This window comes from Homo sapiens, chromosome 2, assembly GCF_000001405.40.
Source record: "Homo sapiens chromosome 2, GRCh38.p14 Primary Assembly".
Taxonomy (NCBI): domain Eukaryota; kingdom Metazoa; phylum Chordata; class Mammalia; order Primates; family Hominidae; genus Homo; species Homo sapiens.
In genome coordinates this window covers 209,851,971-209,866,150 of record NC_000002.12, presented here as the reverse complement: position 1 = coordinate 209,866,150, position 14,180 = coordinate 209,851,971, and the positions used below count along the sequence as shown (strand labels likewise).

General features: G+C 37.1%; 1 protein-coding gene across 3 annotated transcripts in view, besides 2 other annotated features; it reads right to left on the bottom strand.

Moving 5' to 3' along the window:
- Nucleotides 1-14,180, bottom strand: part of UNC80 (unc-80 subunit of NALCN channel complex) — a 227,465-nt gene that overhangs the window by 133,146 nt on the left and 80,139 nt on the right. The window lies entirely within an intron of this gene.
- Nucleotides 575-1,112: an enhancer, noted in NCBI's record as "OCT4-NANOG-H3K4me1 hESC enhancer chr2:210729763-210730300 (GRCh37/hg19 assembly coordinates)". NCBI's record gives its function as "activates a minimal SCP1, AML or CMV promoter by ChIP-STARR-seq in primed H9 embryonic stem cells {active_cell/tissue: H9 hESC(primed)}" and the evidence as "EXISTENCE:reporter gene assay evidence [ECO:0000049][PMID:30033119]".
- Nucleotides 1,113-1,650: an enhancer, noted in NCBI's record as "OCT4-NANOG-H3K4me1 hESC enhancer chr2:210729225-210729762 (GRCh37/hg19 assembly coordinates)". NCBI's record gives its function as "activates a minimal SCP1, AML or CMV promoter by ChIP-STARR-seq in naive and primed H9 embryonic stem cells {active_cell/tissue: H9 hESC(naive and primed)}" and the evidence as "EXISTENCE:reporter gene assay evidence [ECO:0000049][PMID:30033119]".

Below are 14,180 nucleotides of genomic sequence, written 5' to 3'. Positions count from 1 at the left end.
AAAGATAAGTTGAGAATTTTTAGAATAAATATCGTATTTCAATTACATAATTCAAGTACCTAATGAACCTCAAATAAGAAAAATGCTAAGAACGTTTTAGTAAAACTGCAAAATATAAACAATAAAGAGAAGATATTCAAAGTGACTACAGTGGGAGGAGGGCAGATTACCTATAAAGGATTGTCAATTAAGCCAGAAAGGAATGAGATAATATCTTTGAAGTGTAGAAAGAAAATGTCAGCCTATAAATACAATTCTAGCAAAAGTATCTTCAAGTTGAGATCAAAATAAAGAGATTTTCAATTAAATTGTAATTGAGAGATCTACTGCCAATTGATTGTCACTAAAGACACTTCTGAAATAATCTTAGGAGGAATATCTAAGATGCAAGGAAAATGGTGAACAAAGAATATGTTAAATTTGGGGAGTAAATTTAAAACTCATTTACCTAAAAATCAATACAAATAATGTCTAATTTGTGAATATTAATGCAAAAGCAAGATAGAACTAAATCTTGAACAACAGGAACAACAATTGGGGTTGAAGCCCTCTTTTTTTTTTTTTTTCTGAGACGGAGCTGGAGTGCAGTGGCGGGATCTCGGCTCACTGCAAGCTCCGCCTCCCGGGTTCACGCCATTCTCCTGCCTCAGCCTCCCGAGGAGCTGGGACTACAGGCGTCCGCCACAACGCCTGGCTAATTTTTTGTATTTTTAGTAGAGATGGGGTTTCACCGTGTTAGCCAGGATGGTCTCGATCTCCTGACCTCGCGATCCGCCTGCCTTGGCCTCCCAAAGTGCTGGGATTACAGGCATGAGCCATCGCGACCGGCCGAAACCCTCTTATTTTTTGAGGGAAGAGTAAAGGAATTCATTGATGGACTAGAAACAGCAGCGTTCGGAGGCTCCCATTGAAAAAAAAAACATAATAAACGTGTGAATCCTTCACCGGCAACCAAGGTATCCAGGTTCTCTCGTCAGAACTAAGAGGCTGCCGTGACCCGTGGAGAGAAAGAAAAGCAGTGTGGTGCGGCAGCGCACCTGGGAGCCACAAAGGGCCAGGGAGTGTCCTCCCCCAAGCCAAGGGAGGCAGTGAGTGAGCATGCTACAAAGGCAGAGAAGCCGTGCTTTTAACATGGAATTGTGCAACCCACAGATCCGAAGATGCCCCTCACGAACTCACGCCACCAGAGCCTAGCATCGCAACCCCAGAATGCGCAGACTCTTAACAGCCTCTCAGCTGGAATCTGCTTAAGCCTACTGAACTCCCGGTGGGAGAAGCGACCAGCACTGGCTGCCTGCTGTTTAAGCCATTTGAACTCCTTGTGGGAGGGGCAGCAGCCAGCAGTGGGACTCGCAATGACCTAACATGCTAAGCTCCCTGGGCAGGGGAAGGGTGGCACCCATCTCTATAGCCCAAGGCTGTGCTTTTCCCCTGTTGGTGCCAGGGAAGCTGCACAGCTTGGTCCCAAGACAAGTCCCCCACAGCCCAACACACCAGCTGTGGCAGTCTGCGGCCAGAGTGCCTCTTCAGGACTGACCCTGACCCCTCTTTTCTAATGGGGTGGGGTTTCCCTGCAGGAACTCCAATAACTCCAGCCAGAGGCTCAGGAACAGAATCTGGATCCCCCTGGGCCTGAGACCCTGGGGAAGGGGTGGCCTCAGTCTCTTCTTCGGGCCAGCAGACTTAGCCTTTCCTCTGAGGAATCCCTGAGATAGCTCTGAGGAATCCGGGCAGCCCAGACGGGTGGGTTTCCCCACAGCAAGGCACACCCCCTCCACCAAAGGACAAAGTGCTTCATTAAATGGGTCCTGTTCCTCGTGCCACCCAACTAGGTGAAACCCTCCAACAGGGGTTGTCAGACACCCTATAAAGGGGTGATCCTACTGGCATTCAGGTTGGTGCCCCTCGAGGTCAGAGGTCCCAGAAGGAGCAGACACCCATCTTTGCTGCTCTCCAGCCTCCTTGAGTGACATCTCCAGGCACAGGAGTGAATCAGATGAATAGGGCCTGAAATGAAGCCCCAGCAAACTGCAGCAGCTCTACAGAGGAGGAACCTGACCATTGAAATAAAAATAAACAAGCAGAAGGCAACAACAACAGCATCATCATCAACAACAACACAAAAGCCCCCACAAAAACCCCATCCAAGGGTCAGCAGCCTCAAAGACTGAAACTAGACAAACTCACGAAGATGAGAAAGAATCAACGAAAAAATGCTGAAGACCCGAAATGTCAGGGTGCCTCTTCTCCAAATGATCGCAGCGTCTCTCCATCAAGGGCACAGAACTGGACCGAGATCACATGGACAAATTGACAGAAGTAGGCTTCAGAAGATGGGTAATAGAAAACCACACTGAGCTAAAGGAGCATGTTATAATGGAATGAAAAGAAGCTAAGAACCTTGATAAAAGGTTAGAGGAATTGCTAACTAGAATAACCAGTTTAGAGAGGAACATAAATGACTTGATGGAGCTGAAAAACACAGTATGAGAACTTCGTGAAGCACACACAAGTATCAATAGCTGAATCGACCAAGCAGAAGAAAGGATATCAAAGTTTGAAGACCACCTTGCTGAAATAAGGAATGCAGACAAGACTACAGAAAAAAAGAATGAAAAGGAATGAACAAAGCCTCCAAGAAATATGGGACTTCATAAAAAGACTGAACCTACGATTGACTGGAGTACCAGAAGGAGATGAGAAGAATGGAAACAAGCTGGAAAACACACTTCCGGATATTATGCGGGAGAACCTCCCCAACCTAGCAAGACAGGCCAACATGCAAATTCAGGAAATACAGAGAACACCATTAAGATATTCCATGAGAAGATCAACCTCAAGACACATAATCATCAGATTCTCCAAGGTGGAAATGAAGGAAGAACTGTCAAGGGCAGCCAGAGTGAAAGGCCAGGTCACCTACAAAGGGAAGCCCATCAGACTAACAGCAGGCCTCTCAGCAGAAACTCTACAAGCCGGAAGAGATTGGGGGCCATATTCAACATTCTTAAGAAAAAGAATTTTCAACCCAGAATTTCATATCCAGCCAAATGAAGCTTTATAAGCAAAGGAGAAATAAAATCCTTTCCAAACAAGCAAATGCTGAGGAATTTCATTACCACCGGGCCTGCCCTGCAAGAGCTCCTGAAAGAAGCACTAAATATGGAAAGGAAAAGCTGGTACCAGCCACTGCAAAAACACACTAAAATATAAAGACCAATGACACTATGAAGAAACTGCATCAACTAGTGTCCAAATAAACCAAATAACCTCATGATGAGAGGATCAAATTCACAAATAACAATAACTAACCTTAAAGGTAAATGGGCTAAAGGTCCCAATTAAAAAACACAGACTGGCAAATTGAATAAAAAGTCAAAACCCATCAGTGTCCTGTATTCAGGAGACCCATCTCACTTGCAAAGACACACATAGGCTCAAAATAAAGAGATGGTAGAAAATTTACCAAGCAAATGGAAAGCAAAAAAAAAAAAAAAAAAAGCAGAGGTTGCAATCCTAGTCTCTGACAAAACAGACTTTAAACCAACAAAGATCAAAAAAGACAAAGAAGGGCATTACATAATGGTAAACAGAACAATTCAACAAGAAGAGCTAACTATCCTAAATATATATGCCCCCAATACAGGAGCACTCAGATTCATAAAGCAAGTTCTTAGAGATCTACAAAGAGACTAAACTCTCAAACAATAATAGTGGGAGACTTTAACACCCCACTGTCAATATTAGACAGATCAATGAGACAGAAAATTAACGAGAATATTCAGGACTTGAACTCAGCTCTGGACCAAGCAGACCTAATAGATATCTACAGAACTCTCCATCCCAAATCAACAGAACATACATTCTTCTCCGCACCACATAGCAAGAAGTTATTTGAAGCCAATGAGAACAAAGAGACAATGTACCAGAATATCTGGGACAGAGCTAAAGCAGTGTTAACAGGGAAATTTATAGCACTAAATGCCCACATCAGAAAGCTAGGAAGATCTCAAATCGACACCCTAACATCACAATTAAAAGAGCTAGAGAGGCAAGAATAAACTAATCCAAAAGCTAGCAGAAGACAAGCAATAAGTAAGATCAGAGAAGAATTGAAGGAGATAAAGACATGAAAAATGCTCCAAAAGAATCAATGAATCCAGGAGCTGGTGTTTTGAAAAAATAAGCAAAATAGATAGACCACTAGCTAGATTAATAAAGAAGAAGAGAGAGAAGAATCAAATAGACACAATAAAAAATGATAAAGGGGATATCTCCACTGACCCCACGGAAATACAAACTACCATCAGAGAATACTATAAACCCCTCTATGCAAATAAACTAGAAAATCTAGAAGAAACAGATACATTCCTGGACGCATATGCCCTCCCAAGACTAAACCACTAAGAAGTTGAATCCCTGTATAGAACGATAACAAGTTCTGAAATTGCAGCACTATTAATAGCCTACCAACCAAAAAAAGCCCAGGACCAGTTGGATTCACAGCTGAATTCTACCAGAAATATAAAGAGGAGCTGGTACCATTTCTTCTGAAACTATTCCAAACAATTGAGAAGGAGGGACTTCTCCCTAACTCATTTTATAAAGCCAGCATCATCCTGATACCAAAACCTGGAAGAGACACAATATAAAAAGAATGAGCCTGATGAACATCTGTGTGAAAATCCTCAATAAAATACTGGCAAACCAAATCCAGCAGCACATCAAAAAACTTATCCATCACGATCAAGTCTGCTTCATCCCTGGGATGCAAGACTGGTTAAACATATGCAAATCAATAAATGTAATCCATCACATAAACAGAACCAAAGACCAAAACCACATGATTATCTCAATAGGTGCAGAAAGGCCTTTGATAAAATTCATCATCCCTTTATGTTAAAAACTCTCAATAAACTAGGTATTGATGGAACATATCTCAAAATAATAAGAGCTATCGATGACAAACCCACAGCCAATATCATACTGAATGGGCAAAAGCTGGAAGCATTCCCTTTGAAAACCAGTACAAGACAGGGATGCCCTCTCTCACCACTCCTAGTCAACATAGTATTGGAAGTTCTGGCCAGGGCCATCAGGCAAATAAAGAAATAAGGGGTATTAAAATAGGAAGAGAGGAAGTCAGCTTGTCATTGTTTGCAGACGACATGATTTTATACGTAGAAAACACCATCAACTCAGCACCAAAACTCCTTAAACTGATAAGTTATTTCAGCCAAGTCTCAGGATAGAAAATCAATGTGCAAAAATCACAAACATTCCTTTACAGCAGCGATAGACAAGCAGAGAGCCAAATCATGAATGAACTCCAATTCACAATCGCTACAAAGAGAATAAAATTCATAGGAATGCAGCTAACAAGGGATGTGAAGAACCTCTTCAAGGAGAACTACAAACCACTGCTCAAGGAAATAAGAGAGGACACAAACAAATGGAAAAACATTCTATCCTCATGGATAAGAAGAATCAATATCATGAAAATGGCCATACTGCCCAAAGTAATTTATAGATTCAATGCTATTCCCATCAAATAACCATTGACATTCTTCACAGAATTAGAAAAAACTATTCTAAATTTTATGTGGAATCAAAGGAGACCCCATATAGCCAAGACAATCCTAAGCAAAAAGAACAAAGCTGGAGGCATCATGCTACCTGACTTCAAACTACAATGCTGACTGACTTCAAACTACAAGGCTACAATAACCAAAACAGCATGGTACTGGTACTAAAACAGACTTATAGACCAATGGAGCAGAACAGAGACCTCGGAAATAACACCACACATCTACAACCATATAATCTTCAACAAACCTGCCAAAAACAAGCGATGGGGAAAGGATTTCCTATTCGGTAAATGGTGCTGGGAATACTGGCTAGCCATATGCAGAGAACTGAAACTGGACGCCTTCCTTACACCTTATATAAAAATTAACTCGAGATGGATTAAAGACTTAAATGTAAAACCCCAAACCATAAAAATCCTAGAAGAAAACCTAGGCAATACCATTCAGGACACAGGCTTCATGACAAAAAATACTTCATGACAAAAATGCCAAAAGCAATTGCAACAAAAGCAAAAATCGACAAATGGGATATAATTAAACTAAAGAGCTTCTGCACAGCAAAAGAAACTATCATCAGAGTGAACAAGCCACCTACAGAATGGGAGAAAATTTTTGCAATCTACCCATTTGACAAAGGTCTAATTTCCAGAATTTACAAGGAACTTAAACAAATTTACAGGAAAAAACAACCCTATCAAAAAGTGAGAAAAGGATATGAACAGACACTTTTCAAAAGGAGACATTATGCAGCCAACAAACATGAAAAAAAGCTCAACATCACTGATCATCAGAGAAATGCAAATCGGAAACACAATCAGATACCATCTCATGCTGGTCAGAGTGGAGATTATTAAAAAGTCAGGAAACAATAGATGCTGGTGAGGCTGTGGAGAAATAGGAACACTTTGACACTGTCAATGGGAATGTAAATTAGTTCAACCATTGTGGAAGACAGTATGGTGATTCCTCAAGGATCTAGAACCAGAAATATCATTTGACCCAGGATTTACATTACTGGGTATACCCAAAGGAATATAAATCATTCTACTATAAAGACACATGCACACGTATATTTATTGCAGCACTATTTACAATAGCAAAGACATGGAACCAACCCAAATGCCCACCACTGATAGACTTGATAAAGAAAAGGTGGTACATATACACCATGGAATAGTATGTAGCCATAAAAAATGAGATAACGTCCTTTGCAGGGATATGGATGAAGCTGGCAGCCATCATCCTCAGCAAACTAACACAGGAACAGATAATCAAACACTGCATGTTCTCACTCATAAGTGGGAGTTGAACAATGAGGACACATGGGCACAGAGAGGTAAGCAGCACACACCAGGGCCTGTTGGGGGATGGAGAGTGAGGAGAGGAAACTTAGAGGATGAGTCAATAGGTGCAGCAAACCACCATGGCACACATATACCTATGTAACACATCTGTACATTCTGCACATGTATCCTTCTTTTTTAGAAAAAAATTTAAAAAAAAGAAATTCATTGATTTTAGACTTTTAGTTAAATATGTATGTGATTTCTATAAACATAAAGGGAATATAATAATCTACAAACCAGTAAAGGAAAATAACTTTTAAAATGTGAAACTATACCAAAGCAAGAGAAATAAACCCTAACACAATCTAAAAGGAGGCATGAAATTGAAACAAACACACACATGCACACACAATGAAAAAATAAAAAGTGTAATAAATAAGCAAAAATGACAGAAGTGAATCTAAATATGTCAGTAATCACAATCTGCACAAATAGACTAAATTTTCTAGAAAAAAATTGTTTAAATGATGAAAAAAATTAAATATAAACCTTTTTTCTTTTTTTCTTTCTTTTTTTTTTTTTGGAAACAGGGTTTCATTCTGTGGCCGAGACCAGGGTGCGGTTGTGTGATCTGGGCTCACTGCGACCTCTGTTTCCTGGGTTCAAGCTATTCTTGTGCCTCTGCCTCCCAAGAAGCTGGGATTACAGGCATGGCTAATTTTTGTATTTTTAGTAGAGACAGGGTTTCGCTATGTTGGCCAGGCTGGTCTTGAACTCCTGACCTCAAGTGATCCGCCCACCTTGGCCTCCCAAAGTGCTGTGATTACAGGTGTGAGCCACCATGCTCGGCCCAAATACATGCTTTTAATAAGACATACACCTAAGTAACAAACAGATAGAAAAGTTGAAAGTAAAGGATTGGCAAAAAGACATGCCCAGCCAATACTAACCTAATGAAATTGTTGTAGCTATCTATTAGCCTTGTAGAAAAACATATCTTAAGGTAGAAAGTATTACTAAAAATCAGCGTGCCACTTGATAGTAATAAATGGTTCAAATCATTAGAAATCGTAATATTTCTAAACCTGTTTGCTTCCAAATAAATAAAACAAAAAATGTCATCACTGTAAATACAAATGAACGTATTTGTCATCATTGTGAGGGATTTCAACACAACTAACAGTAATTGATAGATCAAACAGTGAGAAAACAATCAGAAAGTAGATTCAAATAACCCAATTAATGAGTTTGATCGTACGTATATCAATCACTGTGTTCTACAAGTGGCGAATACAAATTCTTTTTGACAACACATGGAACATTTATAAAAACTGATAATATTTTAGGTCATAAAGGAAGTCTAAATTAATTCTGAAGAATCAGTAACTTAGAAATTAACAACACAAATTGATTTCTAACAAAACCCTGGATTTTATAAATTAAAACACACACATATATAGATACCTATGAGTCAAAAAGGAAATAGTTAAAGAAATTAGAAAGTACTTAAAAGTAAATTAAAACAAAAATACTGCTTATCAAAATTTATGGTATGCAGTTAAAGTAGTACTTAGAGGAAAATTAATAGCTAAGTTCTTAGTTTACAATAGAGAAAAGAATATCAATGAACTAAGTAATCAACTTAACTAAAGAATAATGCAATTAGCCCAAAGCATGAGAGAAAATAATAAAAATAAGAGCAAGCATTAATAAATTAGAGAACATACAATAGAAAGATTAAAAAAATGAAATAGACAAATGACTGGTACATCTAGTTAAAAAACTGGAAACAATTTTAGAAATAGAAATAGGTAACTACAGATACTGCAAAGATTAGAACTAATAAGAATGTATTCTCAGCAATTTTATGCCAACAAACCTTAAAATATAGATTACATTGATAAACTACTGAAAAAATTAAAATTACTTAAACTGTCTCAGGAAGAAATAGAACTTTTCAATAATCAATTCAGATTTCAATTTCGATCATCTCTAAATATATCCGTGGACTCAATGCAATTCCAAGTATAAATCAAATGATTTTTCATGGACTCTGATAAGCTAACTATAAAATTTCATGTGGAAGAACGAAGAGCCTCGACTAGCCTAAGTGATGTTTAAGTTCTAACTATTAATACAGAGTAGGTTGACTCAGGATACATGGAAAATGGAATAAAACAAAACCCAGGCCAGGCGTGGTGGCTTACACCTGTAATCCCAGCACTTTGGGAAGGCAAGGTGGGTGGATTACCTAAGGTCAGGAGTTCTAGATCAGCCTGACCAATATGGTGAAACCCCTTCTCTACTAAAAATACAAAACTTAGCCAGGCATGGTGGCGGGTGCCTGTAGTCCCAGCTACTTGGGAGGCTGAGAGACAGAAGAATTACTCGAACCTGGGAGGTGGAGGTTGCAGTGAGCTGAGATCATGCCACTGCACTCCAGCCTGGGCAACAGAGCAAGCCTCCATCTCAAAAACGAAAAAATAAATAAATAAATAAATAAATAAATAAATAAGTAAACAAAAAAACCAAAACCCAGAATTACATCATGCTTATAAGGACACCTGACATTTGATTAAGATGGAAATGCACATCTGAGAAGAATGCATTAACTAGTCAATATATTGTGCTAGGATAATTATTTTTCCACGAGAATGAAAGAAAATAAAGAAAATGAATTCCTATCCTATACTATTCACATAAAACATAAAGACTTAATTGTGAAAGTTAATCTTTAATACTTTTAGAGAAAAATATAAGAATGTCTTTGCTACCTTGGAATTTCAAGACAGAAGTGCTAGCCATGAAGGATAATTTTTATGAATTATATTAAATTAAAATCTCTTCATTAAAATGTATGAAAAAATTGAAGAAGAAAACAAGCTGAACACTGGGAGATGATGCAATGTAATGAACAGAAAAAAGATTAATATTGACATCACCTATAATCTTTTAAATATCAGCAATAAAAGATAATCTTCCAATAAGAGAATGAACAAAAGACACAAATGAAATATTTTACCAAAGCAGAAACAGAAATAGTAAATAAACTGATGACAAGACTTCTTAAGCTTTAGGTTAAAATATAGATTAAAGGTTATTACTTTAAAGCACCACATTGTTAAAAATAAAAATATTGGACAATACAGTGTTGGCAAGAACATAGAGAAACAGGAGTTTTCATTATATCGTTGGCACTTATTTGGAATTTTTGAAACTACTTTGAAATACAATTTGGTATCATATAGTAAAATTGTAACTCAATAATTTTACTCATAGGTTTATTTAGGAAACTATATATGAATAGAGACCCATACAGAAAAATATTAATAAGGGCATTGCTAAAATTAGCCAGAATTTTGAAAAAAATTAAAATGTTCACCTAACATAGAGTGGACATATAAATTGTGGTATGTTCAAACAAATGAATACCATTCATGAGTAAACATTAACATATTAACACTAAATGCATCAACAAGGAGGAACTCAAACATAATGTTAAACAAATAAGAAAGAGGATAGCATGACTTCCTATAAGTTAATTTCAAAACCAGACAAAACAAATGAAAACAAAATAAAATAATATATTCTCTAAAGACACATACCAATGTGGTAAAATAAAGCACAAGAAAGATATTAAAATAAAGTTCAGAAGAGCAGTATCTTCTCAGAGGTAAAGGTGTGTGATTAGGTAAGGGAACACAGAAACTGGAAATGTTTTGTGTCATGGATATGTGATTTTTAGATTTTTTTCTTTAAATTCTATGTACTTATGATATATATTCATTTTGTTTCATTTTATTTTATTTTATTTTATAAGTTCTTGGGTACATGCCCAGGATGTGCAGGTTTGTTACATAGGTAAACTTGTGCCATGGTGGTTTGCTGTACCTATCAACTCATCATCTAGGTATTAAGTCCAGCATGCATTAGCTATTTGTCCTGATGCTCTCCCTTCCCCTGCCCCCCTAACCCTGCTGACAGGCCCCAGTGTGTGTTGTTCCCCTGTGTCCATGTGTCCATGTGTTCTCATTGTTCAGCTCCCACTTATAAGTGAGAACATGTGGTGTTTGGTTTTCTGTTCCTGCATTAGTTTGCTGAGGATAATGGCTTCCAGCCCTATTCAAGTCCCTGCAAAAGACATGATCTCATTCCTTTTTATGGCTGCATAGTATTCTATGTTGTATGTGTACCACATTTTCTTTATCCGGTCTATTATTGATGGGCATTTGGGTTGATTCATGTCTTTGCTATTGTAAATAGTGCTGCAATAAACATACGTGTGCATGTGTTTTTACAGTAGAATGACTTATAGTCCTTTGGGTATATACCCAGTAATGGGATTGCTGGGTCAAATGGTATTTCTGGTTCCAGGTCTTTAAGGAATCACCACACTGTCTTCCACAGTAGTTGAACTAATTTGCATTCCCACCAACAACGTAAAAGCATTCCTGTTTCTCCACAGCCTCACCAGCATCTGTTGTTTCTTGAGTTTTTAATAATCACCATTCCGACTGGTGTGAGATGGTATCTCATTGTAGTTTTGATTTGTATTTCTCTGATGATCAATGATGTTGAGCTTTTTTTTCATTTGTTTATTGGCCACATAAATGTTTTCTTTTGAGAAGGGTTCATTCATATCCTTTGCCCACTTTTTAATGTTTTTTTTCTTGTAAATTTGTTTAAGTTCCTTGTAGATTCTGGATATTAGACTTTTGTCATATGGATAGATTGCAAAAATTTTCTCCCATTCAGTAGGTTGTCTGTTCATTCTGATGATAGTTTCTTTTGCTGTATATTCATTTTTAAAATCTGCACTCTCATGTCCATTGCAGCACCATTCATAATAGCCAAGACATAGATTCAACCCAAGTATCCATCAATAGGTGAATGAATAAAGAAAATGTGGCATATACAAAACAATGAAATACTATTCAAGCATTTTTTTATGCTACATTTCATAGTTAGACTCTTTTTAAAAAATTCATTACCACTAGATTAAGAGGACAATTTGATAGTTTAGTTTTGTTATTACTAAATTATTTCTAATTTTCTTATGATTCAAACGAGAATCATAAGATATTTCCTCTTTCATGCATTCCTATCTCCTTGAAAGGACCTAATTTGCATTGATCATTAAATATCTTGTGATGTTAAGCCCCAATATGAATTATATTTGATGCAATAAGCCTGGAAGTAAGTGTGAATTAGACCTATGGTAACTGAAGGTCTTTTCCTGGGAGAGTCCTGGTTTATGTCTCTTTTCCTCACATAATTATTGATAACTCTTTCACTCTTGAAAGTGTCCTATTTTGAAAAAGAATTATATATGCACTCCTTCTAAAACTGTCTACTTATGAGGCTCAATAATTTAACATTAGATTTCCTCCACTCACAGACTAGGGAGAATTCTATGATCCTATGGATGGTCTTATACTTATGGAATTGTTCCTAAAGCAAACTGGCATTGGTATTAGTGTTATTCATGCTAATAAATTACCAAAAAATTAGAAATCACTGCTTGTGCATGTTACAAATTCAACTGGATAAATAAGAAAAGACTATTTCACTTGAAAAATATAGGAAGTAGACATACCTTTTGCTTGAACTGTTTAATTTTTCTTTTTATTTTCTTTTTAGTTTTGTACTTGCAGATTATATAAATCTAGAGATGAAATCAATCCTTTCTAAAATATGTCTTTTAAAAAATGCCTTACAGTTGCATCTGCTAAATTAACCCTAAAGAGAAAGATTGTGAGGAAAAGCTGTACTGGACTTAAAATTGAATCAATTATCCCTACATTTAGTGGTCATAGCAATAATAAAAGTAGCATTGTTTAGAACCAACAAAAAAAACAGGTCAGCAAAACTTTGAACACTGACATTTCTAGTATTTCTTTCATCTAACAATTCTTTTTAATTCTGAAGAAAATTACAATCTTAAAAAAATCACATTTAAATTCTATTTTTAAGGACATAAAACAATGAAACTATTCTAATATAAAATTATGTCAAAATGCAAAAATTGTATTTAAGCTGCACTTAAAAAATAAATGTAACAAAGCAAAACAATAAAAGAGAGGTGGGAGAAAATGCAAGATTGAAATATGATGATGAATTGAGCACATTCATTTTTCCCCTCCTCCTCCAAATTCTATTTGATGAAATGGCGGAATCTATAACTATGTCTCTATCTATCTGTGTATATGTATATCTATCTCTGTATATGTATATCTATCTATATCTATATCTGTATCTGTGCCTATATCTAGATCCACATGTGTACCTCATTTGCATATCTACCTAACATATCTACATCTATGTTTATTTCTATATTTACATCTATTTATATTATATACATATATCTAAATAAAACCACAATGCATTGAAAAACACGTAAAACATACTTAAAAACTGAGGCATTCTTGAAAGATTGGAAGTTGGTGAATCACATATTGGATGAAACCAAATACAAAGGAAACAAAAGCTAAAAATACCTTTAGCAGAAAACATCAGTGAAAGTTAGCATAACCCTGAGGAACCCCTAACCCAGATCAATAGGTATGAACAATTGCAGTTATCACATCTGTACAAATGACAGTAAACACCAAATGCTGCTTTGATTCAAGCACGTACGACATATAGCTGCATTACCTTCCTCTCAGTCTGTCAGAATTCACCAGCCCCTTTAGTTCCTTCACTTTCCATAGCTGAGAAACTGATTGTAAGTGTGTCCTTATTTGGGGTTCATCTCTTGGCTTAATTCTTTTGCTCTCATACCAACAAATAAGACAATGAATGTGAAGGTGCTTTATAAACCATCAAGCATAATGAAAATGTTATGAGTATTATTCTCTACCAACACCTCTGCCAACCACCACCACCACCATCATCACCTATGCCTTTTATCCAACCAATCATGTCTACCCAGATTCTCTCTCTTTTTGCCTCATAATGGGAACTACTGAGCTCCTTTAACCCTTGATTGATTCTGACCTCTGGAATTTGGACCTCTGAACACTACACACAGCTTGACCTTGACCTTGAATCAAAGACTGTCAGGTATGAAAGGAACTCCTACTACCCACACACTGCTTGATCCTCCTGTACATTCACCCCTACTGGATCCAGTCTAGTGGCAAAGACCTCATTACTTCCAGATGCAGGCTACTCAGTCAGTGGACACATATGCTAATGAGAAAATGCCTCTTTACTTGATGGCTCAAAAGACACTGCTTATAAGCTCCAGCGCTCCTTCATTTTCTTTCTTACCATGAGACTTATGAGATCAACCAGCCTCTGTCAC